General features: G+C 38.7%; 1 protein-coding gene and 1 long non-coding RNA gene across 4 annotated transcripts in view, besides 1 other annotated feature; one reads left to right on the plus strand and one right to left on the minus strand.

The window, feature by feature from the left end:
- Positions 1-22,340, minus strand: part of FBN1 (fibrillin 1) — a 237,397-nt gene that overhangs the window by 114,066 nt on the left and 100,991 nt on the right. For 2 of the 3 annotated variants that reach the window (NM_000138.5, NM_001406716.1), the window contains 3 exons: positions 15,233-15,430; positions 11,702-11,827; positions 3,752-3,877 (listed from right to left, as the gene is read on the minus strand). In NM_000138.5, coding sequence (NP_000129.3) covers positions 3,752-3,877; positions 11,702-11,827; positions 15,233-15,430 — 450 coding nt within the window. Of the gene's footprint in view, positions 1-3,751; positions 3,878-6,601; positions 8,003-11,701; positions 11,828-15,232; positions 15,431-22,340 lie in introns of those variants that run through there. The other variant, NM_001406717.1, reaches the window with a different exon arrangement.
- On the plus strand, positions 3,873-8,979 carry LOC124903488 (uncharacterized). The gene is made up of 3 exons (XR_007064628.1): positions 3,873-8,346; positions 8,617-8,713; positions 8,900-8,979. It is a non-coding gene; the product is annotated as an uncharacterized LOC124903488 (long non-coding RNA).
- Positions 7,355-8,554: an enhancer, noted in NCBI's record as "CDK7 strongly-dependent group 2 enhancer chr15:48821930-48823129 (GRCh37/hg19 assembly coordinates)". NCBI's record gives its function as "activates an origin of replication core promoter dependent on BRD2, BRD4, P300/CBP, MED14 and CDK7 cofactors, with strong dependence on CDK7, by STARR-seq in HCT116 cells {active_cell/tissue: HCT116}" and the evidence as "EXISTENCE:reporter gene assay evidence [ECO:0000049][PMID:35650434]".

Below are 22,340 nucleotides of genomic sequence, written 5' to 3' on the forward strand. Positions count from 1 at the left end.
GTAATGTACTTGAATCATCCTGAAACCATCCTCTTCTCCCAGTCCATGGAAAAATTGTCTTCCACAAAACTAGTCCCTTGTGCCAAAAAGGTTGGGGACCACTGATTTAAAGGAATATAAGGGTTAAATCCTTTTGTAAAGCAAAGATCTTTCATAGCCAAAAATCCATCCCTGGGTTTCCTGTAAGTCTGAATATTAAATTTCAAGTTTTCTCAAAGAGGGTCATACCTGTAATTGTTATCATCTACATCATTCTTAAGAACACAAAGCCCTCATGTCTTGAGGTTTCAATAAATTAATAAAATGAAATAAAATAAAAACAAGGCTAATTTAGAAACATTTAAATTATTAACATCAAGTGAAGAAGACTAAAACCAACCTAGACAAACCATAAAAGAAAATTATGGGTCAGTTTTAAAGGATACAAGATTATTTCCGAAAAGTACTTAAAACCACTAGCCAGTATAAATGTGCTTTCCAGAATTTTTTTGTGGTTCCAGTTCCTGTACCTCTGGTCAGACTAATAGTTTCACCAAAGAGGCAGAACAAGTTTTATTCCAGCCTGGTCCAGGATAAACGGCTGGAGAGGGAGTATAGACAAGTATGCTCTCTGTGAAGCCTCAGGTGGTACCTCCCCCGTCAAGAGGGCAGAGAAATTGAACTTCCTACATTCTAATTTGTAATGCCTTAAAACCACTAATACTTTATATACTTGGGAATTAGTAAATATTTGGGGCATGGAAACCAAAGACTGTTCAGAATGGGAAGAGATATTCAAAACTGGCTTATATCCCAGCTTCAAATGAATTCGGTGGTCAAAACCCAGTGTAAACACTTGACCAAATTATGGAATTTGTACATATAATTTTCAGCATGGGCTATCTTTCAGAGCAAAACTAGGGCCTACAGTTGCCAATGACAAAAGCTTAATGGGCTAATGTCTATTATTTTGCAAATCAACTATGATACCATGTTATTGCCCATCTGGCTGACTTATATGTTAAATCAATGGATCACAAACTCTTGATCAAAATGGTGAATGTTGGGGGTAAAAAAAATTACAAATCAAGTTTGGGTTACTGGCAGTCCCTGATTTACAGATGGCACCTGCACATATAATAATAATTTTTCTAATTTATTTTTTTGCTGAAGAAGCACCTTTGTTAAAAATACACATTTATATAACTTATAATTTTAATGAAAACCTACAGGCTAATAAGTAAAGGAAGAAAAAACTGAAAATTGGAAACCATTTGGAGTAAATGACCTCCAGGACACAGCAGCCTGAAGTTTTTCACTTCGTTAGGCAGCAGTGCCACACCAAGGGTGGCTGGGGGGGGGGGGGAACCGTTGTGGTGGTATGTCACTTTGTACAGAGGGTAAGGGGTGGCTGTAGAATAACTTGAAGACCTTCAGGACTCAAGCTAAGGGGACATAAAGGGACACAGAAGGAACCACAAACACCTTCCATTTTAAATCTGCCCTGGCCAAGACATCTGGCGAAGAGGAGGAGGAAATCTCACTCTTTTCTCCCCTTTTGAATCACTTGGCCCTTATTCTCAGGACCCAGAAATCACATTATATCAAAGCAAATATATTATGGATTAAATAGGCGTTTGCAGGTCGTCTAGCCTGTCAACAGGCTTCTCCTAACCTGTCACGAACATGGTTGTGTACAACCAGGAGTTAGGAGTTGTGAGGCTCAAACTAGGGAAAGGACATCTTTATGACTCCTAGGAGTCGAAGAGAGAGAACACAACAATATAAAAAGACAACCCTACAGGCAATATTACAAATGCCACAGGAAGATCACAGAACAAGAAATAAAATAATACTAAAAGAGCTTAGAACACAAAGGGAGCTCGGGGCTGGGAGGTCTGAGAGTCTCAGAATGTGGTGGCAGCAGGTGACAGTTGGAATTTTACGGTTAGAAGAAATGTGCACGGAAGATACTGCATACCACTATCTACATAGGAGGTTTTCTATTGGTGAGACCTACTCATTCCAAACAACTGTCTTACGAACAAGCCTTGGATTTGTTTATACTGTCAGGGGCTATTTGTATTTTCTCATCACTACGGATAATTTTGGGGGTCTCTGTTGCTTACCATGGAGGGAAATAGGAGCACCAGAAGGCAGAAAGGTCACTTGGATCATTTTGTATGACAAGTGTCTAATTATGGGCACAACAGAGTTGCAAAGAAGAAACGGGGCTTGCCTAGGGATCTGGCAAGAAAGAGTGAACTGCATCCAGAGTTGAGGGGTAGAAGGCAAAATGAGGGAAATCTGGGCTGTGCACTCAGGTCACGGTGGAATCCCAGATCCCTCTCTCACTACCCACTTAAACTATTGGGCCATTATTTATCTAACCTCTCTCAATCTCAGCTGCTTCCCATCTACAATACTGCTGTGAAATGAACATCAAGTCAGATAATTTACATAAAACACCTCATACCCTGTGATCCATGAATCTTAGTTCCCTTCCATTCCTCCTTTGTAAAAAGTTAGTATGGATACATTTGATAAAAAGAAAGTAACTTTTAAAATGTGAACCATCTGATATGTAAATATGTCTTAATCCTCATGTAGTTTGAAGCTCTCTTAAAATCCTTAAATATCAGACTGTGCACTTTGGAACTTGAATTTTAATCTAGAACACTGCACTTTTAAAGAAGTCTTAACAATTATTAAATCCAGCAGCTGTCAAATCTATTTTTTTTTTTTTTCAGATGAAGTCTCGTTCTATCGCCCAGGCTGGAGTGCAGTGGCGTGATCTCAGCTCACTGGAACCTCCACGTCCTGGCTTCCAGTGATTCTCCTGCTTCAGCCTCCTGAGTAGCTGGGATTACAGGCACCCGCCACGACGCCTGGCAAATTTTTGTATTTTTAGTAGAGACAGGGTTTCACCATGTTGGCCAGGCTGGTCTTGAACTCCTGACCTGACTGAAGCAAACTGCCCGCCTCGGCCTCCCAAAGTGCTGGGATTAGAGGTGTGAGCTACTGCGCCCAGCCAAATCTATTTTTTAAACAATAGAACCCCTGATTTAATTGATACCTGACATGGAAGTCTAACACTCACAGCAGATAAAGTGAAATTGCTATGCCTAGAATGTGTGTGGGAGTGTGGGGGGACAAGAGCCCTTTCCACTCAGCTCTCTCCCTTTTCTCTGTGCCCTCCGCAATCCCTGCAGCCCTGGAGGGCTTTGAAACACTTGAAGGATCCACTGGACACAGACTGAAAACCACTAATTTCTAAGTCCTAATGGAAAACTACCGAGGGTTTGAGCAAGAGTGTTATTTAATCGAAGCACTATTTTAGGAAGATAAATCTGACAAGATGGATTGTAGAGAAGCCAAGAAGCAGGGAGACCAATTAAGAGATTATTGAAAAAATTCAGGCCAAATTAACATAGGTTCTGGGGAATGACTGAAGGTGGGGGTAAAAAGAGAGAGACACCTGGGATGGCTTCAAGGTTTAATGCTGCACGACTGCAACATTAATTAATAGACTGAAGATACCTGTAAGGTCTCCTGGATCATCCCTCTTTTATGGGAGGCAAAACGTCTCCAAAATGACCACAAGGTGCCTCTGTTCTTTAAGAGGGCAGTCAACTGTTTAACATTTTTCCAAAAATGTACATTTTACCTCAGTTGATAAATTATATGTGCTCCTTAACAAGCTTGTTTAGAAAGTTGTTTGTTATGGAACTGACTTACACAAACCATGCATGCTGTTTGTCATTAAACCTACCTATGCATCTGGTACCATCTGGAGAGGTGTAAAAACCAGGGGGACATTTGCAAAAGTAACTGCTGACTGTGTTTGTACATTCACCCCCTTCACAGATTCCAGGAATGGTGCTGCATTCATCAATATCTGGAATATAAAAAAAAGAATCTCAGCATTTGTAGAACACAATATAAAACCATTCGTCAGTAGAAGGACTCAGATGTTAACACTAGTCAAATCATGTCCCTGGAAACAGCCATCATTAAAAAGTAAAAACCGCATGGAGAACAGTCAATTCAAAGGTAGATGCTGCTTCTTTCAACACAGACTTACCCAAAAGATTTACCAAATTCAACAGATTAGGGCAAAATGAAATCACCCCCCTTTAAAATCTAAACCTGTGTACTGTTGTTTCACCAAGTAACTATAGCATGTTAATGTTACAAATGTCATTTATTTTAAAATTTTGTTTTCCTTTTGTTTCCATGTTTTGCATTAAGTTAAACTCTCCTACTAATTATTTTATATTCTGTATCACTTCTTGCGCTGCTTTTCAATCTATTTTCCACAACGCGGATACTGGAATCCTACAGAAGAGATCTTGTGGTCTGAGTGCTGATCCCAACTTGGCCAACTTGGTGTTCTCAGTGGCACCCAAACTACCATTATGATGGTCTTCTGTGGTTGGTGAATGAACTGTGATGGACACTGGGTGCCCTAACCAACGTCCCCTTCAAAGAGGGACTTGCTGCCCAGGAGGCTGGGAATACTGTCAACACACGGTCTTTGGCTCTCAGCCCCTTCTAAGATTGCCTGAGTCGCAGAGAGCCACCTCGCCCGAGGTCACACCCTTCCCAGGCACCCGACACCCAATAAGCAATTGTGAAGGAGGATCAAAGTCTGGTGCATCCTGCCCCAATGGGAGACAACACTGAAGGCCCCTCCGATTCCCCAATTCCTTCTGGGGCCAGTGGAGGCTGTTGATGGGCTGCACCCCAGCTTGCCTTCTCTGCACGCTCTTGCCTCTTCCTCTTCTCTTCTGCAGGTGTTGATCCCAAGGACATCCTCTAATAAACATCCTGAATGCTATGGAGGCCAAAGCTGGGGTTAGCCCTCAGGGCTTGACACCACTGGTTCCCATCAAGGAAGCAGTAAAATTCCCTTAGGACAAATATGGCCATTTCCTTCAAGGAGAGGTTTTCAATAGCCTGACCCACACACTGACAAATGTCAACAGATACGGCACCAGCAGAAGAAGAGAAAAAAATGACAGCTTCCTTCTTAGGCTAGAAGTAAACTCAGGGCACAGGGAATCTGCATGGCCTCCTCTCTGAGACCAGCAGAGCTTTCTGCACTGACCTTGGGAAAGGAGACATTTGAGCCAGGCCTCCTGGGAGTATTACAATGGCCAGGCTGACACCGTTAAAACTGGGAAAGGCTTACAACCCCCAATAAGAACATTTATTCTACAGGCTAAGTACTCTCTTCATTTATAAGACAAAATAGAGTTCTAAGTGAACCAGATTCAAGTATCTTCTGACTCAAGTTCACCTTGTTAGTAAAAAAGGCAGCAATGACAGTGTTTACATGCAGTTTAACCTTTTTAAAACCAAAATCACCATTCTTCCATGCTAGGCTAGAGGCTAAACCAAACAATATTTCACTGCTTATATTAGAGTCAATGCTAACATAAACAGCACTGTCATTGCAAAATTATGTAACGGTAAAGGTGCATATTCTATTCTGACAGATAGAAATTTCATTAGAGTCTGTGAAAGGGTCAGGTAGAGAAACTGCCAAGGGCAGACAGAGCCTAGGGTTACCCACGTAATATCTCAAGGCAGCCACACTTCTACTTAACACAAACAAAAAGCAAGTATGTCAAAGAGCCTACAGGATTCAAAGCTTCATTTAAGGATAGAGGAAGCTATAATTGTAATTAAGAAGAATGTACCTTTTTCAAAGTGTCCCTAAAAGTTAGTATCTGAGTCCTACAACACCTGCCAAAGATCGCATGAGGAGACAATGTGGTATTAAATATTTTTTCTCAACCCATTAATATAAATGACAGCTACCATTCTTATTAAGGCCACTTAGCGTACATCAATATCTAAAAGGTTTAAATGACAGCCCATGTCAGAAAAATTTGTTTAAACAATAGAATTAACATTGGCAGAATGGGGGAAACATCTTTTCCATGCTGGCTGAGTGAGATTTGGGCCCTTTATTGAAGATAACAATAACAAGAACAATAATGATGAGAGTTTGCATGTGCTGAGTGCTAGACATAGTCAAAATGCTTTATGTGTACCCAATCATCTAATCCTTATAATGCAGGTAGGACTGTGGGCCTGATTCTATACCTCTGGTGCCCAGGTACGCCTCTTGCATTACACTGAGGCCTTCAGAAAACTGACATGAATCAAACCTGAAATAAGAGCAAAGAGGCCCATCATTTATAAAGTGAGGCTAAACCCAAGTCTCCAACTGGCAGGGGTTTTTAGGGTGGGTGTGGGGAGTTTCCACCTAGGTACATGCCTTTGAAAGCCAGCAGGTCAGGAAATATGTCATAGTGCACACCTCCCTGAGTTCACATAGATTAAGATAAAATGGGACTAGGCCAAATTGTTACATTTGAAAGAGCTTAAACGACTTCAAATTCCCCTTAATATGTCCCCTTCTCAGTGACACACCCTTTTGCCTTCAGGTGTCTAGTGCCTTTCCCCTTTCCTAAACCACCTTGTTTCTCAGTGGCATGGCTTCGTAACAAATAAAAGCAAGAGTTCTATCTATTACCAGGCTGTGGTGGAAAGTTCCCGACAGCAAAGGCCAGAATAAGGTGTTTGAATAGGATTGACTCACACTCTGAAACTCATTCATATGAATTTATTATTTCTCCAAGTTCTTCCCACTCTGTGTTCATCTCCTTTTAATTGAATTTGAGGCATCCCAAGTTAAGAGGGAATTTGAGAACGGTCACTTTCTCAGTTTCTATAAATCAGGCTGTGTCAAATGCCAGCCATGAAAGCAAACCAGGTGGGGACGCTTGCTGGGGAGTGGTGCTTGGCTGGGAAGAGCTATTTCCGTGCTCTGGACATTTCTCCCTGCTTCCTTGAGGCAGAAAAGGAGGCAGAGCTGCTGGGGAGTAGCTGTCCCATGGTAGCTGTCCATGACCCCACTGGCTTCTTGCTGTGACCTTAAGAAGAGTCACAAATGGCAGATCTCTTCCTTCCTTATTCGCCACCTGTCCTTTGTTTCTGCTCCTTCCCATCCTTCAGTCTCATCTGTTCTCCCAGAGCATTCTTCCCATGCCTAAGCCCCTTCATCCTAGGGCTCCTCTGGCAGAATGGGAGGAAAGAGTGTGGAGGGCAGATGGATGGAGCTTGGTGTCTGTTCTGGGACAGGCATCACCATCTATTACTTGGCTATCTAGAAGCTCCATCCAAGATTGTGGACTTGACAAGAGAAACCTGATCCTGACAGTTAACCTGATCCTGACTGCCTAGATACTAATACAATGAGAGAAAAAAACTAAAAACTGTGGCAGCTGTTTAAAAGTAACATGTGACACACTAATGATCATGAATGCCACTGAGCCTGTGAGCTTAACTTTGATTGTACAAACTCAACCCAGTGTAAAATGTATCACTAAAAACTAAACAAGCTGACTCTTCATGTTGACAAAAACGTCAGCCATACTATTTTATAGTCACATCACGTACGCCAGCTTTTATCCATGCTGCATCCGCCGCCCGATCACAACTTGAAAATGGAGTCTGAATTCTTATCCATGCTGCATCCGCCGCCCGATCACAACTTGAAAATGGAGTCTGAATTCTTATCCATGCTGCATCCGCCGCCCGATCACAACTTGAAAATGGAGTCTGAATTCTTATCCATGCTGCATCCGCCGCCCGATCACAACTTGAAAATGGAGTCTGAATTCTTATCCATGCTGCATCCGCCGCCCGATCACAACTTGAAAATGGAGTCTGAATTCTTATCCATGCTGCATCCGCCGCATCACAACTTGAAAATGGAGTCTGAATTCTTATCCATGCTGCATCCGCCGCCTCATCACAACTTGAAAATGGAGTCTGAATTCTTATCCATGCTGCATCCGCCGCCTGATCACAACTTGAAAATGGAGTCTGAATTCTTATCCATGCTGCATCCGCCGCCTGATCACAACTTGAAAATGGAGTCTGAATTCTTATTCATGCTGCATCCGCCGCCCGATCACAACTTGAAAATGGAGTCTGAATTCTGGAACTGGAAAGAACCCCCACATAGCATCTTGTTCAACCCCCTCATTTGAAAGCTGAAGTAACTCAGAGATGGTAATTGACTTATCTAAGATCACACAAAGCATTAGGGACTTGACCACGGGGCATCAAGGACGGGAGCCAGGCCTGCCTTATTTCCAGGGCTCTTTGACCTTCACCGCAGAGATTTTTTTTTTTTTCAACTAATTGTATAGAGAGAGCCAGTTACCTTGAACAGTGAAAGTCTAGGGCCTGCAAACAGCTGAAAGAGGATGGAGCCCCATCTATGGTAGTGGGTTAAGCCGCCCCGGGAATTCTCCTTAGCTCCTGAGAGGATAAGAGCCCCTAACAGTAAGTAGCCATGAGATAAATATGCTATTATTTTGGAAAGGGGAAGTCCTGAGGTTTTTGGCTCACATATTATGGAGTGCATGGATTTAAAAGCTACACTTTTAAAAAGGTCCTGTGCATCATGCAGTGCTATTATAATTGCTAAAGGCTGGGCTGGCGATAATCTAAATCCCAAAATATTAGTGGTTAATTAGGAATCCAACGGACTTCTTCCAGAAATAAAACTTAATCCCTTAATTACGCTTTTTATTTCTTAATTTCCTCCCATAGTAACCTATGCAAATATGGACTTGGTTTCCAAAGAAAAATGTTCATGTGTTCTTTCAGCATGCGTACTCTACAGTCATTGGAAAGATCAACAAAGAAGGTGGGCATGAACTCTTTCCTTTTTTCTCAAATCACAGCTATAAATCTCAATCTTTTCCTTCTTAAATGTATGAAAATTTAATAATTGTTATTTAAATCCCTTCAACTTGTTAATTTACATTTCAAAATGTCCTCCAATTATATGTATTTATAAAACACTTTTCCGTAACATTTCTTTTTTTTTTAGTTTTTGGAAAGAGGGACATTTTAGGAAGGAAGTGAGAATTCTGCAAGAGGAAGATCTCATGGAAAGCAACTCGAATAATGGCATTCTCAGATCTGAGAGCGTGAGGGTTAGCATCTTGTGAATTTGCTAAAGCCAATTTGATGGAATTGGTTTTTCTTGAAAAAATTCTATGAAAAGTACTCAATTCCTTCCCCTCCAAGTCTAAAGGAAGCTACCTTTAAAAAGCCACTCAAAGCAATGGCAAAGGTACCAGGACATTTTCACAAGGGCACAGAACCCCATGGTTATACTCATCATCTTTCTAGGGAACATATTCAGTGATTACGGGCCAGACTTCCTGGGTTCCCTCTATTGGCCATCTAGACACCAGCCGATGCCCAGAGTTATGCCATTTCCACAGTGAGACACTGTAACCGGAAAAGAGCAAGGACGTCGAAAAAGTGAACCCGGCTTGCCAAGAGCTCTCAGGGTACTTCCTGATTACTTTCTTACCAGAGTAAGACAGGTCAACCCTGTTCACACCAGTCTCCAGGCCAGAGAATGTATAGCACTAACAGGACATTCTCCTCTAGTATCAATTTTGCATTGATACTAGAAGGAAAAGAAGGAAAAAACCATTATCTAAATTAATGTAATAGTAGATGGCAAAGGAAAAAAAAATCTAGCCAAAATAGTCTGTTTTTATCTTGCTGCTGACTTTCACATGTAGCTGGAAAATTTTTGTGTGTGGAAAAGGATTAAGTAATAGACTGAGTTTTTGGTCCACTGGATACACCACCATAATAGGTTTCTTAGCATCAATAAAAAGATTCGAATGATTTTTCTTTCAGTCTGAGCATTAAATTAGAATCTTCTGTCTAGTCCACATCCATAGACCATTCCTGTTAATTGACTTGTCTGAATGAAAAGCAAGAGACAAAATCAATTCTACTCAGGCTGGAAGCCATCATAATTTCAGAAAACAAAACACAGACTGGACAAGTCATAAGGACTATACTCCCCTCAATCTTGAAGCTGATTATATATTCTGAAGCTGAATATATTAAACTGAGAAAGCCTAAAAGATAAAACACAACCTATCGTTGATGTAGGTTTTGCATGTGATAAACTTTAATGGCTTGTTAAGTTAATGTCATATATATATGTGTGTGTGTATATAGATATATGTGTGTCTATATAAAGATATGTGTGTGTGTATATGTGTGTGTGTGTGTATATATATATGTGTATGTGTGTGTGTGTGTGTATATGGCCCGAAAATCTATTCCAGAATAATAACTTTCATCTAGGAAAGAGGACAATGTAATATGGCTCAGCAAGCACCAGAGTGTGAGTTAAAGAGGTAAATTTGAGCAGTCTTGTCTGAATGGCCTCAGACAGGGTACTTAATACACCCAAGACACCATTCCTTAATATATAATGTAGAGTGTGGAAATAGCTGAGTTCTTTGCCCCTTTCAGTGCCAACATTCTCTGCTTCAAATTTAGATCTACAGTACAACTTCTAAAATACATTGGCCTATCAAGAGTCAACTTTATTGTTCTTTGAAACTTAAAATGTTTTTTTAAGAAGTCTTTAGAAAGAACTATTTTTTCACAACTACCCCGAATAACTATGTATAACATGTTCAAGAATGCAGTATCAATTATAAATTCAATGATGATTTATAACCTAAAAACAATTCCAACTCATAAAGATAGTTCTATCAGAGTTAGATTATTCAGTTTCAGGGCAAGTAGATATTAAATGTCTTACATGTAACTTATGAATTGCACCTTAAATTTAAAGCTGTCTTTTGCTCATCTGATATACAGTGGCAACTGACAAGGTTAATTATCCAGCCCAGACAAATAACTTAGAATGTACTCACTGTTAGAGTCTAGGGGCATAAATATAACAGCATCTGTTTTCAATAAAAATGCATCCATCTAAGTGAAACCTCAAGGTGGGGTGAGTTGAGGATGAAGGAAAAAGTTTTCTCTTCTGATCTTGATGAGAGATGTAGCCCTGAGAATGCTGTTACACTATTGTTGGACATTACTATATATAAGTTACATGCACTCATCAAAGAAAAGAGAGTCCAATGCTGCCTACATATTTTCTAGATGCTCCCCTCTCACGAAGAAATTATGACTGTAATTGGAAGTCAGGCCTCATTTCGGCAAAGAGCAGTAGCAGTAGTGGTGACTATAAACACATCCTCTGTATATATATTTGTAGAAGTTCAATCTATAAACTAAATGTAAATATAAAAATTATCTCAAATTACTTTTCTGTTTGACTAACATTAAAAGCTTTTCATTTGATAGGCAATTACCATCCCCCAGAAAAGAAAATCATGAGCATGTACTAGGAGCATAAATATAAGGGTTAATAGATCAATCTGCCTCCCCACACACAAAATCAAACATACCTTTTAACTAGAAAAACTTCGGAAGATATATTATTCTGAATGATATCTAATGACCAAATTTAAATTCATGTCTCTAGAACTATGCAAAAACATGTGTGTTGAACATTTTAAACCAAATGTTGGTTCAAAAATATTTCATGTTTTTAATATTTAATTTGATTCAGATGGACCTCTTGTTTTGGGTCTATAAAAGTGGAAAAAGCTACAGGGTTTTTCTGGTCCAATAGCACAAAGGCATATTATTACTGTTAAAAATATTATATTTACACATTCACAGGGATGACAAAGACAGAAGGATTTAGGAATAATTTGCAAACAAGCTTGTTTCTAATGTTGAGTTTTGCCTGCCCCCACTACACCCCCCAACTGCAAAGCATAAGATTTCTTACCTTCACATTTTTGTGACACTTCATTAAGTTTGTGTCCAGCAGGGCATTTGCACTCAAAAGACCCAACAGTATTAATGCAATTTCCTCCCTGACAGAGCCCGGGGATGGCCTGGCATTCATCCACATCTGTCAGATTACAGAAGACAGAGAGAAAAAAAAAAAACTCATATGAAATTCATTGCAGAATAAAATGTGATAATTTGTCCACAATTATGTTACCATATTTATATCGGTGAGTTATTTGTCCATCACAATATTTGGAATATGATTAGAGAAACTGTTTCTCACAATTGCATTATGTAAAATACATCGTTTGATTAATAATGTTCCATAAGAAGTCACAAGTATTTTTTGTTTTCCCACCTTCCATGTTTCCTAATGTAGAGGAGAGTGCATTAACTTTTGCGGGTTTTAGCACATATGCAGCAAAGTATAAAGATACGTTTAAAAGGCCATTATTCACGGCCTCATTTTTATCTCCAGATTGGTAGTAATAATCAGAGTTATTCAAAAAATCTTGCAAATCAAAATGCAATACATTTCTACAATGAAACTACCTTTAAGAGTTGTACTGAGTGATTTAGTTAAAACGGAATTTATTGAAGGTCACTCAGACTACACGAGACAGCTAATGTTTTTGCGCAAATGAAGTGGAAATGTTCACTTCACATTCTGGAGAAGTGCCTTGCACAGTAAAAATTAAACAACTCAGAAAATTAGGCCAAGAAGTGAGAGAGATTGTTAGGTGAGTGAGTGTGTAGTTTCAGCTGCAGACTTACCTTGCTGGCACAGTGGCCACCAGAAGCCACTTTTGTAAATGTCAGTGAGATCATGTCTTTCCCCAGCTCAACGTGCAAGTGTGTACTATGTCCTGGGGAGTTCGACATGACTTCTCTGATCTTTTACCCATTTTCCACCCTCCTATCTCTCCCACCACACTGGATTCCTCAAATATGCCAAGGATGCACCTGCCACAGAGCTCTGTAAGGCTGCCCCTCTGCCCGGAATAGTCTTCCTCCAGAGAGCTGCATGGCCCACGATGTCTCATCCTCCAGGTCTGTGCTCCAATGCCACTTTAGCCACGAGCCCTTCCCTTGACAGTCCAACAGCAACACCTGGCTGCTGGCTCTAATCATCCTTCCTTCCCTGTTTATTTTTTTCCACAGGACTAACCACCCACTGACCTAATACATGCCTGTTTGTTTTATTTAATAAATTGAATGTCTTCAAAATGTCTTCAATATAAGCTTCCAGAAAGCAGGGACTTTGTCCATTTTCTTCACTGTTGTATAACCAGCACCTAAGGACTAACTTGGGTTCTTATGTGTAAGCCCAAATATTAACCTTCCAGGAGCAAAATTAATCATTTCAGGCTCACTACTTTTGTTATAAAGATTATAAAGTACATGTACATTCTCTCCATCTCTTTGTTCATAACAGAAAAGTCTGATTTAATAAAGAATCCCCAAGCAAACAGTCTAATGTATTCTTTTTGAAACCTGGAAGCTTAATGTGCTCTTTAGTTTCACTCTTCATTGAGTAAAGAAAAAAGTGATTGCTGTTTATAAGATCTCAACCTGTGTTCTTGAGAAAAGTCAGCATGCAGTAAAAGGGATATTAAAGAAACAACAATTTAGTTTATTATAAAAGTATCACTTACTGTTTTAAATGAAATATCTTAACCCACAGATACATGATTATATGTGGAAAATCATTAAATTATGTTTTCTAGCCAATTTCAGTTTTGTCTTAGACCAGAATTTTCCATTCTCTTGATGTGTTGAATGTATTTTTTAAAATGTTTTTGAAAATCAAGATTTTTACATATAGGCAGAACTAGCTGTCTTGTTGATCATGATTTCTGGCCAACAGAAAATATAGACAAGGCAATTCTCCACTGGCTGTATACTCCAGGTCTGAAGACAGAATAAGCTCCTTTATGAACCCATTTGCCCACAGCCCCTCACATCTGACCCAAGGACTGGAAACACCAGCAAGGAGCAAGAGCCACAACCTGGTGGCAGAATCTCTTAGAAAAAACAACAACAACAACAACAACAACAACCAAACATGAAGAATTTCACTCTCAAAATAGCAATATAACTGCCATTGTGATTCAATGGGTTTTCAAAACTTTTCTTATAAAAAACATTTTTTTTCTTGGATGTTGAATAGCAGAGTTAGAAAGAAACAGGAAGCAAATGCTGGAAAGATCCAGATTTATGAAACGAATAGCAAAGCTAAAGAGAAGGCAGTTCATTATCCCCACCCCCCCAATTCCATTAGCACCCTAACCTCTGACAATGGGTCACTGATGGGCAGCTGAGGCAGTTAAAAGTCTAGCTCTCTGGTCACTGTCAACAAGTTCATGGGTATTAGCTAACTTTGTAATCCCAAGATGAACAAATTCTTCAAAACTCACTGGGATTTTCTAAAAACGGGAAAAATAAGAAGGCACCAAAAAACAACTAAACTTTTGTAAAATACTACAATCCATCCCTTGATAATTTTAGAGTTTCAAGGTGACTTATTTCTTCTCCTGACATTCAGAGGGATACATTTAAGGGCATCCAAAGGAGCTGTATGTTGTACATGGGAGCTGAAGGCCAGGAATGACAATATCAGAAGTGGAATTTATTGAAGTGGAATGTAATGGAGACCCACAAAACTGTGTGACTAAGCTCAAGTTCTGTTTTATTGCACATTACCCTTAGAATTAACATACAAAACAACGCCAAAGTATTATCTATTTGCCTCAGAAAAGCATATCCTGAAGTTTCTGAAAATATTGCAACTTGCTATAAAAAGTCCTGAGGCTGTCTAAAGGAAACAGATACAGGCTGAGAGTTTTCAATCCCATCAGTTTAGTGTGGAGCTGCCTCTGTTCACTTCCTCCTGTTTCCTGCCAGACATCCAGACAATAAAAGAATTTGTACAGCTGGAAGAACAGGAGTAAAAGCCAAAAACAGAGTAAGGGCTTCTACGGGAGGCAGGAGAAGCAGCTAGCAGGCGACATCTGGGGATATTTAAAACTGTGAAACAAATCCTAATTTATTTTGGACTTGTAAAAAAATGCAAAATGTAGCATGCAAAATGTCGAGAGAAACAATTTTCTTCAGGTCAATTAAGCACAACCCATGAGAGAGGAACTCAACAGTTTCAAATGAAGAAAAAAAATTAAGAAAAACATAAACTACCTTGTTCACAAACCTTGCTTTGTGTTTCTACACAGCACTGCCATAATGCACTGCATCGCTGTAAACAGAATCACACCACCCCTGGAGTCAGAGGTACATACAAACACCTCTGGGGTCAGAAAGGGGGAATGGTTGGCAAGAAAACATTCAGTAAGACTTCAGCTGCTCTCTCGAGAGCCACGTTCCTAATGCCTTAGTTGGATATCATGCAGTCAGCGAAATTGTGAAGTTATGTAGCTGACACTACTTTTCCATTCTCTTCAACTTCATTGGAGAATGGCTCTCCAGAGCAAATAAGATTAATCCATTAATAATTCCATCAGCCCGGGTTTACCTTGACAAGCTCCCGTGCGGATATTTGGAATGAAGCCACGGCGGCAGGGGTGAGGCTGGGCAGGACACATCTCACAGGGGTGGCCCCAGGCTCGGCCGACTGTGGCACAGCAGAGCGTTTTTGTGCAGACAATCCCGCTGAGTTGTCCCTGGCACATCTGGTTGCTGATCACAGTAAAACATGGGCCTGTCCTGTAATCTGAAAATAAAGAATAAAAATCTGATGAAAATCCAGAAAAGCAGGAACCATCATGCAGAGGAACAGCTGTGCTCCATCTTGCTTGACTCCAAATTGAGAAATGAATTTCAGGGACAGAATCATGCATCACTGTCCCTGTGTAAGGCCTTGGATAGACCATTCTACTTCTGAACCCGATTTCCTAACCTACAAAATAGGGATGAAAACATCAGTTGTTACCCACTTTGAAAACGGCATTGTGAGGATCAGGCGAGCTAATGGAAAACTCTTTACAACTGTGAATTGCTATACAAATGTAACATGGTAATATTATTATCCACTCATTACTTAAGAAAATATATCAGTGCCTACACTGAATCAGCTCCTATGCCTGATACAGATGCTTCAGTGACTAAAAGAGGCCAAATCCCTGACCTCACAGAGCTTCCAGTCTATTGTTATTTAGGGCTGAGAAAGCAAAGAATTTTGAAGCTTGCAGTGAGGCAAGTCATGGCACCTTCTTCCTGGGAGTTCCTTCAATAAAAGAAATGGTTATCTGTTTCTTTTGAGTTGGGGTCATCTTATTTCAAATACAAAACAAGCAAACCAACAAACAAGAATTTAAAATTTTGTCCATGCAAAACACATTAGGTTTTAATATAAAGAGTGAGGACACTGGTCTGAAATCATTGTAACCCCTAGGCAAAAGGACCATCTTAAAGCAAAACAGGGATAAGCTAAGTCCACAAGAGAATTTCCAATCAGAGCAGTCTACCACCAGCTATAAGATCTGCCTCTTTTTTTTTTTTCCTACAGAGAGAGAGCCAACAACAAATAAGAAAGATAAAGACGTAGTGAGCACAGAGGACCAAACCCAGGTTGTCCCCTTGTGAGAGAAATCAGGGCCATAATATCCATTTCCGTGGTTCTACAATGACCTTGACAGACAAGGGAGGCTGGGCTGGGGTAAGACTCATGGGCTTCTATCCACAAACCAACATTTGCATGCTTCCAGGTCATTTTCAGAAGTGTTTAGGTGCAGTGATCCCTGTGAGTCTAAAAATGGACTCAATGACCCCAGTAAGTTCCTTTCACCTGTGAACGCAACAGTTTTATGAAAATCACTGGCTGTGCTAATGAAACTACTGGGATGCTTTCATTATTTTCTTCTTTCTTTAAGTAGCTCATAGGACATCGCAGACATGCTATTTACTAAGGAAAAAAGGACAACTTTTCATTACAGTACCAGCAAGAGTCAACATTCTGGATCGTAACAATGTTTTGGCAATAGCTGAATCTTATCTGCTGGCATCCCTCTATCCTGTGTGTTCTCTCTTGCTTTCTTTTTCTTGCATCTCCACTCCAACCCCTCCCTTGGAATTTCAACTCCATCTGCTCCCCATCACTACGTGCTCTTCCTCCCTCTCCTCTGCTATCTGCAATGAACCACCTCTGTTCAATGGTGTTGCAGAAACAGCACTGCTCTGATGCCCATGCTGTAAGATCAACCTTCTGAAGAATTCCAAAAACAAAACTCCATGCCAGTCATATATGTAAAGAAGACTACCATATCCAAGCTATGGCAGCACTGGAGAGACAGACAGGATGGTCCAAATGCCGAGTCCCCAGTTCCCCAGCTCCCTCCCTCCATGCCAGTGTTATGTCCCACTCACAGGATGCAAGATAATTTTAGATTTTAGTAGTCACATATTAATTTTAATGTGTATTATGAAACAGCATAAATATATCAGACTCATGATTTCACAGTTATGTCTGCTATGAGGATGATGAATTGAAAAACCTTTTAATTCAATTTTTTAAAAATATTAAATACTAGTACAGGTGATATGCAAACAGGTCAAAAATTGTGTGAGTGATATCTACATGCAACCAGACTCACCATGCCAAAAGACAAGCCTAAGACCTCTGTGTCCCTCTTCTCTGCATGATATAGCCCCACCCACCTTTCCAGCCCTGTCTCCTGACACTTTCTCTGTTTATCATTTGTCTTTTTTTTTTTACTTTGTTTATGCATTTCTTACTCTACTGTTTTTTTAGTTTTATATAGTCAAGCTGTAGGTATAGTTTAATATTTTACATTGTATGCCAGATTTATTCAAAACCTGCTATCTTCTTCCACAGATACTGAATTCAAACAAAAATATAAACAAGTATTAAATACTGAGCTGTTGAATAAATCTCAGCCCTCATTTCGTTCTTTCGATGAAGAAAAAGTCACTCAGCACTGCAGTAATTTGGAACAAAATCTCTTTAAAATGCAGGAACTATGTGGACAAAGTGAAATACCAAAGTCATCTTTATTTTTTTGGCTCAATTCTCCCAAACAAATACCTATAGGGATTTAATAAATACATCTTTGCTGTTTGGTCTTTCCTTTCTATTTCAATATTTTATTATGTATTTTAATTCAAAATTAAGTAATTACTTTAGACAATTGAGAAAAGGCAGTAGCATATAAACAAATGTAATTACACCTAAAGAAACCCTTGATAACGTATTGATTATATTATCGTACGTAAGATTTTGTGTGTATGCATGTGTGTGTTTTATTTTTTTAATCATAAAATAAGGATTATACTAAAAATATACTTTTGAATCCTGCTGGATTTTCTTCACTTAACATTGCCAAAGCTTTTTCCCATGTAATAAATGCTATTCTACAATATGATTTTAATTGCTGCATAATTTTCCATCAAGTTATAACAGAATGTGTTCAGTAATTTTCTTACTGTCTATCATTTAAATTGCCTCTAATTCTTCATTATTACACATAGCATTCAGTGTACATTACAATGAATCCTTTTCAGGATAAAAACAGTCATCAAGATTTTTATGACTATATATATCCTACATCTGAGACTAGAAAGATCACAGCAGTGTAATCTTTTATTTAAAAAATAAATAAAACTCTCCATGTTAGGTAACAAGAAAGAGAATTTAGGCTTGTTTCTTTCTGTTAATTTACTGAGACAAGTGCAAATGCTTTAATCAAACAGATTCAGGTTAGCTTGCCATATTCAATCCTTTTTAAAAAGCATAACGCAACATGAATTTTAATTTATAATCCTCTCTTCAACACTGTTGGGATTTGTTTTTCCACCTCCTCTTGCCAAGATACTCTATGGAATTATCTTATATATGAGGATTGCCAAGGTTCAGGATAGATACAAATATGGTGTTTTGTGAGTGACACCAGCAAAATCCAGACACTCTACAAAATGCTAATACAAATCTGATTCAGTTCTGTCTGCCACTGATTCATAACTTCACATGTGAATTTCTCATTGGAAGATCTTCATTAAAAAAAAAAACCCCTTAAGACTTTTCCAGGGTCAATAACGTATTATTCTTATTTCAATATGAAATACATAGAATCGAGATGGTAGTTGTTAATTCTGACAATCTATATTAGGCATCCCAACAGTCCACAGGGATCCAATTTATTAAGTATACTATATATTTGGCGAATACTTTATGTAGAATAGAAACTATGGACTTAGTACATTTCTGTGCTAGATATTTATCACTATAGACAAAGTTATTTTGGAAACAAATTCAAACTGGCTTATTTGACAGTACAGATTAGCAAGTGGATATAAATGTATTTGTAGATCCATATTTTAAACAAAAATTGCTGATTGTAGAGGGAGAGGCATAATCTGGATGAAATAAAATTGGATCTAAAAATGTCTTGGAAGGTAAATGCTGTATTAACATGGTTTTCAAATGTCATTCCGATTTGGCGGCATGTGCTTTTCGTCCTGTACTTCATTTAGATTGCCAAGGTTATGCTGTTTTTAGTCCAATACTCCAACCGCAGAAAGAAATCTGCCCACACTCCCAATTCCTTACTAATAATCCAATTATTTACAATTATTCCCATAGCACTTACATGATATTAAGCTAAATTTACATACTCTTTTTTTTTTTTTTTTCAGATAGTCTCAGCATTAGACAGGGAGTGTGCTTAACTCAAAGCTTGTGTAACGTCTGACTCATTCCTGGCTTCAGTGTAAATCATTATTCCTAATGCAACTAAAATATAGTATTAGAAATGCTTTCTATTTGCAAATTGCTCTACAATCACTTCCTTATAAGACCTTCATGAACTAGGGCAACAGGCCAAGTCTTTCCAAAATTAAAGTGCGACTCTAATTGTTTTTAACTGGCTTACTCCAGTGTGGCTGGTTCATGGGAAATTCTGCATCTCCATGTTCCCATTCTGAGTGGTTAGCTCAAGGATTGCTCTCCAGTCCCGTTAGATTTGGCCTCAAGGCTTGGGCTCTGACCAACATGTGTCTGCAGCCTCTGATCCTCAGCTCATGCCCAGCTCTGCAGCTCAGAATGCTGTGGTCTACAGCATTATTTCACTTTCATTTGTAATCAGACTTCACCCCGAAGCAAATGCATCGTTTACAGGGAAAGAATATTCTGTGGTACAATGAATTCTCGTCCCTCCTGCCCAGTCACTAAACCACAAACTGCAGGGAAGGCACAAGGATATAATTTTGGGCACTAGGCTCCAATTATTTTAAATCCTTCTTTTCATAAAAATGACAAACAAAAGAATGAGATATCAATTTATCCATGACATAGAGGGTCACAGCACACTTATTTCTCCCAGGTAGGTTGGCCTGGGGAACATTAGGCTCCTAATGTGTGGAATTTCAATACAACTTTCTGAGGAAGGAGTTCAGAGAACTTTTAGTCTAAGGAAAATTAAAGTTAAGAAGTTCCATTATCATAATCAGCCTCCTAACTGCTGTTACTTCTTCTTACTGCAATCATTCTTAACCTTAGGACATAATAGAATCACTTGGGGGAGCTTTTGTAAAATGCTGATGCCTGGGTCCCACCCTGTCCTCCCCCAGTTTTCCCCATGGAACCCGATTCAGTAGATGTGGCATGGGGCCCAGGCATATACGTCTTGCAAAAGCTCCCCAAGATTATTTCTGCCCTCTAGGACTCTAAGATGTGTGTGTGTGTGTGTGTGTGTGTGTGTGTGTGTGTGTGTGTGTGTGTATTTTTTTTCCTTCTTTCTCTTTTCCTTTAATGAAGAGTACTCGTGTGCCATGATTAATTGGAGATCTCTGCAAGATAACAACTACTTATCTGAAAGTCTAACTTTAGGAACATAAGCCAGCCCATAAACTGGCATCACTGCCACTCGACATAACCCAGTATTTCTCAACTAGGACTGACATCCTAATCATGGCAAAATACTATTCATTTCCACAGTGCTGCACTGATTATGAGGCACTTTATTATGTTCTTTACTAATTATATTATAGTTAATTATACTAACTACCAGCTCATCAAAGCAAACAACAAAGTCAAAATTTAGGAAGGTTGATCATCCACTACTGCAGTGTCCTAATAGTTAGTAGAATTCCCATTTCCAGTCTCTTTCCTTCTAGTTTTACAAAGCACACTGATATACATGATCTCATGCCGCTGTCAGGAACTCTCACATCCAACCCCTACCCACTGCTGCAGCTTGTATCTGAGTGGAATTCCAGGGGCATTCTCCAATTGGGGCCCAAATACAAGGCCTATTTAGCATCAGTAACACCAAAAGTCAACTCTTGATTCATTCCAGAATTGCACTATCACGGAGATCGTCTGAAATTCTTCCGGGACTCCTGATTTTATAAAATATAAAGTAGTGCACATTATCTATGAAGTTTCTTGTCAAAAAGTGTCAAGGCTTAATCTAATCAAACTTCCACACCAAACTTCTAGCTGAAAGGGAATATAGGGATAGAGGAACAAGGTAAATTACACCACAAGGAAACAACCAGAAAACTCAGAACATGTGATATTTTCTAAGGCAATTGTCTAGAACTTTTCCAAAAGCAAATTACTTTCTCTTCACCAAAAGAAGTACAGAGATTATTTTAGATTAAAAATCATAATAATCAAAACTCAACTGGATACTGTTTCTAAAAGAGACAATTTCAGAAATCTTATGTGGACTACATACTACATGACACTGCAGAATTGTTGTTTTTCTAGGTGTGATAACGGTATTGTGGTTACATACAAGAATGTCCTTAGTGCTTAGAGGTGACGTCTCATGATGTATGCAACTTAACTTTCAAATAATTCAGCAATGTAAATAAATAATAAATACATATTTTAATATATATTTTACATATTCTATATACACATATATACATACATATGTGTACATACACATAGAGAGCTATTATGTGTATAAAAGTGGGAACAATTATTCAATATAAGTGGAAAGTATATGTGTATACTTTATATTATTCCTTCAACTTTAAGTTTGAAATTTTTTATAATAAAATTTCAGGGGAAAGAAATTCCTTTCAGGCCTACTTTTACTATGCAATGTTGCTTCTCCCATCTTATTTAAGCTACATGGCATTTTTAAAATGACACAATAAGGTTTGAATATACTTTCCAATCCATGCATTTATATAAAATACTGCACACAAGATTACCTATTTAACATGGTCTATACAGTGTTATTAAAAGAATACAACCTTTTGGCAAAATTTACCAAACTGTATTATGCAAAATGTTTACCTTTAACAAACTGCTTCTGAGGTATGGCTTAATTGTAACTAAATGTTTTTAAAAAGCACTTTAGAAATAAACCATATAGGAAAAAAACAAAACCATTTCTACATTAGTATTTTCCCTGATTTTATTTTCTTTATTCCATAAATGAAAAGTATTACCACTATGACTTAAATGTAAATGTCATTCAAAACTGCAGAAACAAGGTGATTTGTTGTACACCTTTTAATCTAACATGCAGACTAAGCAATTCACCAAAATCCAGGCCATAGTTCTGTGGGACCCAATTATGTGTGGCAGCAATTCAACTGCAGCAAATTGTTACCACATTTTATTCTGTTCCATGATGAAGAAAACAGTT

This window comes from Homo sapiens, chromosome 15 (assembly GCF_000001405.40).
Source record: "Homo sapiens chromosome 15, GRCh38.p14 Primary Assembly".
Classification (NCBI taxonomy): domain Eukaryota; kingdom Metazoa; phylum Chordata; class Mammalia; order Primates; family Hominidae; genus Homo; species Homo sapiens.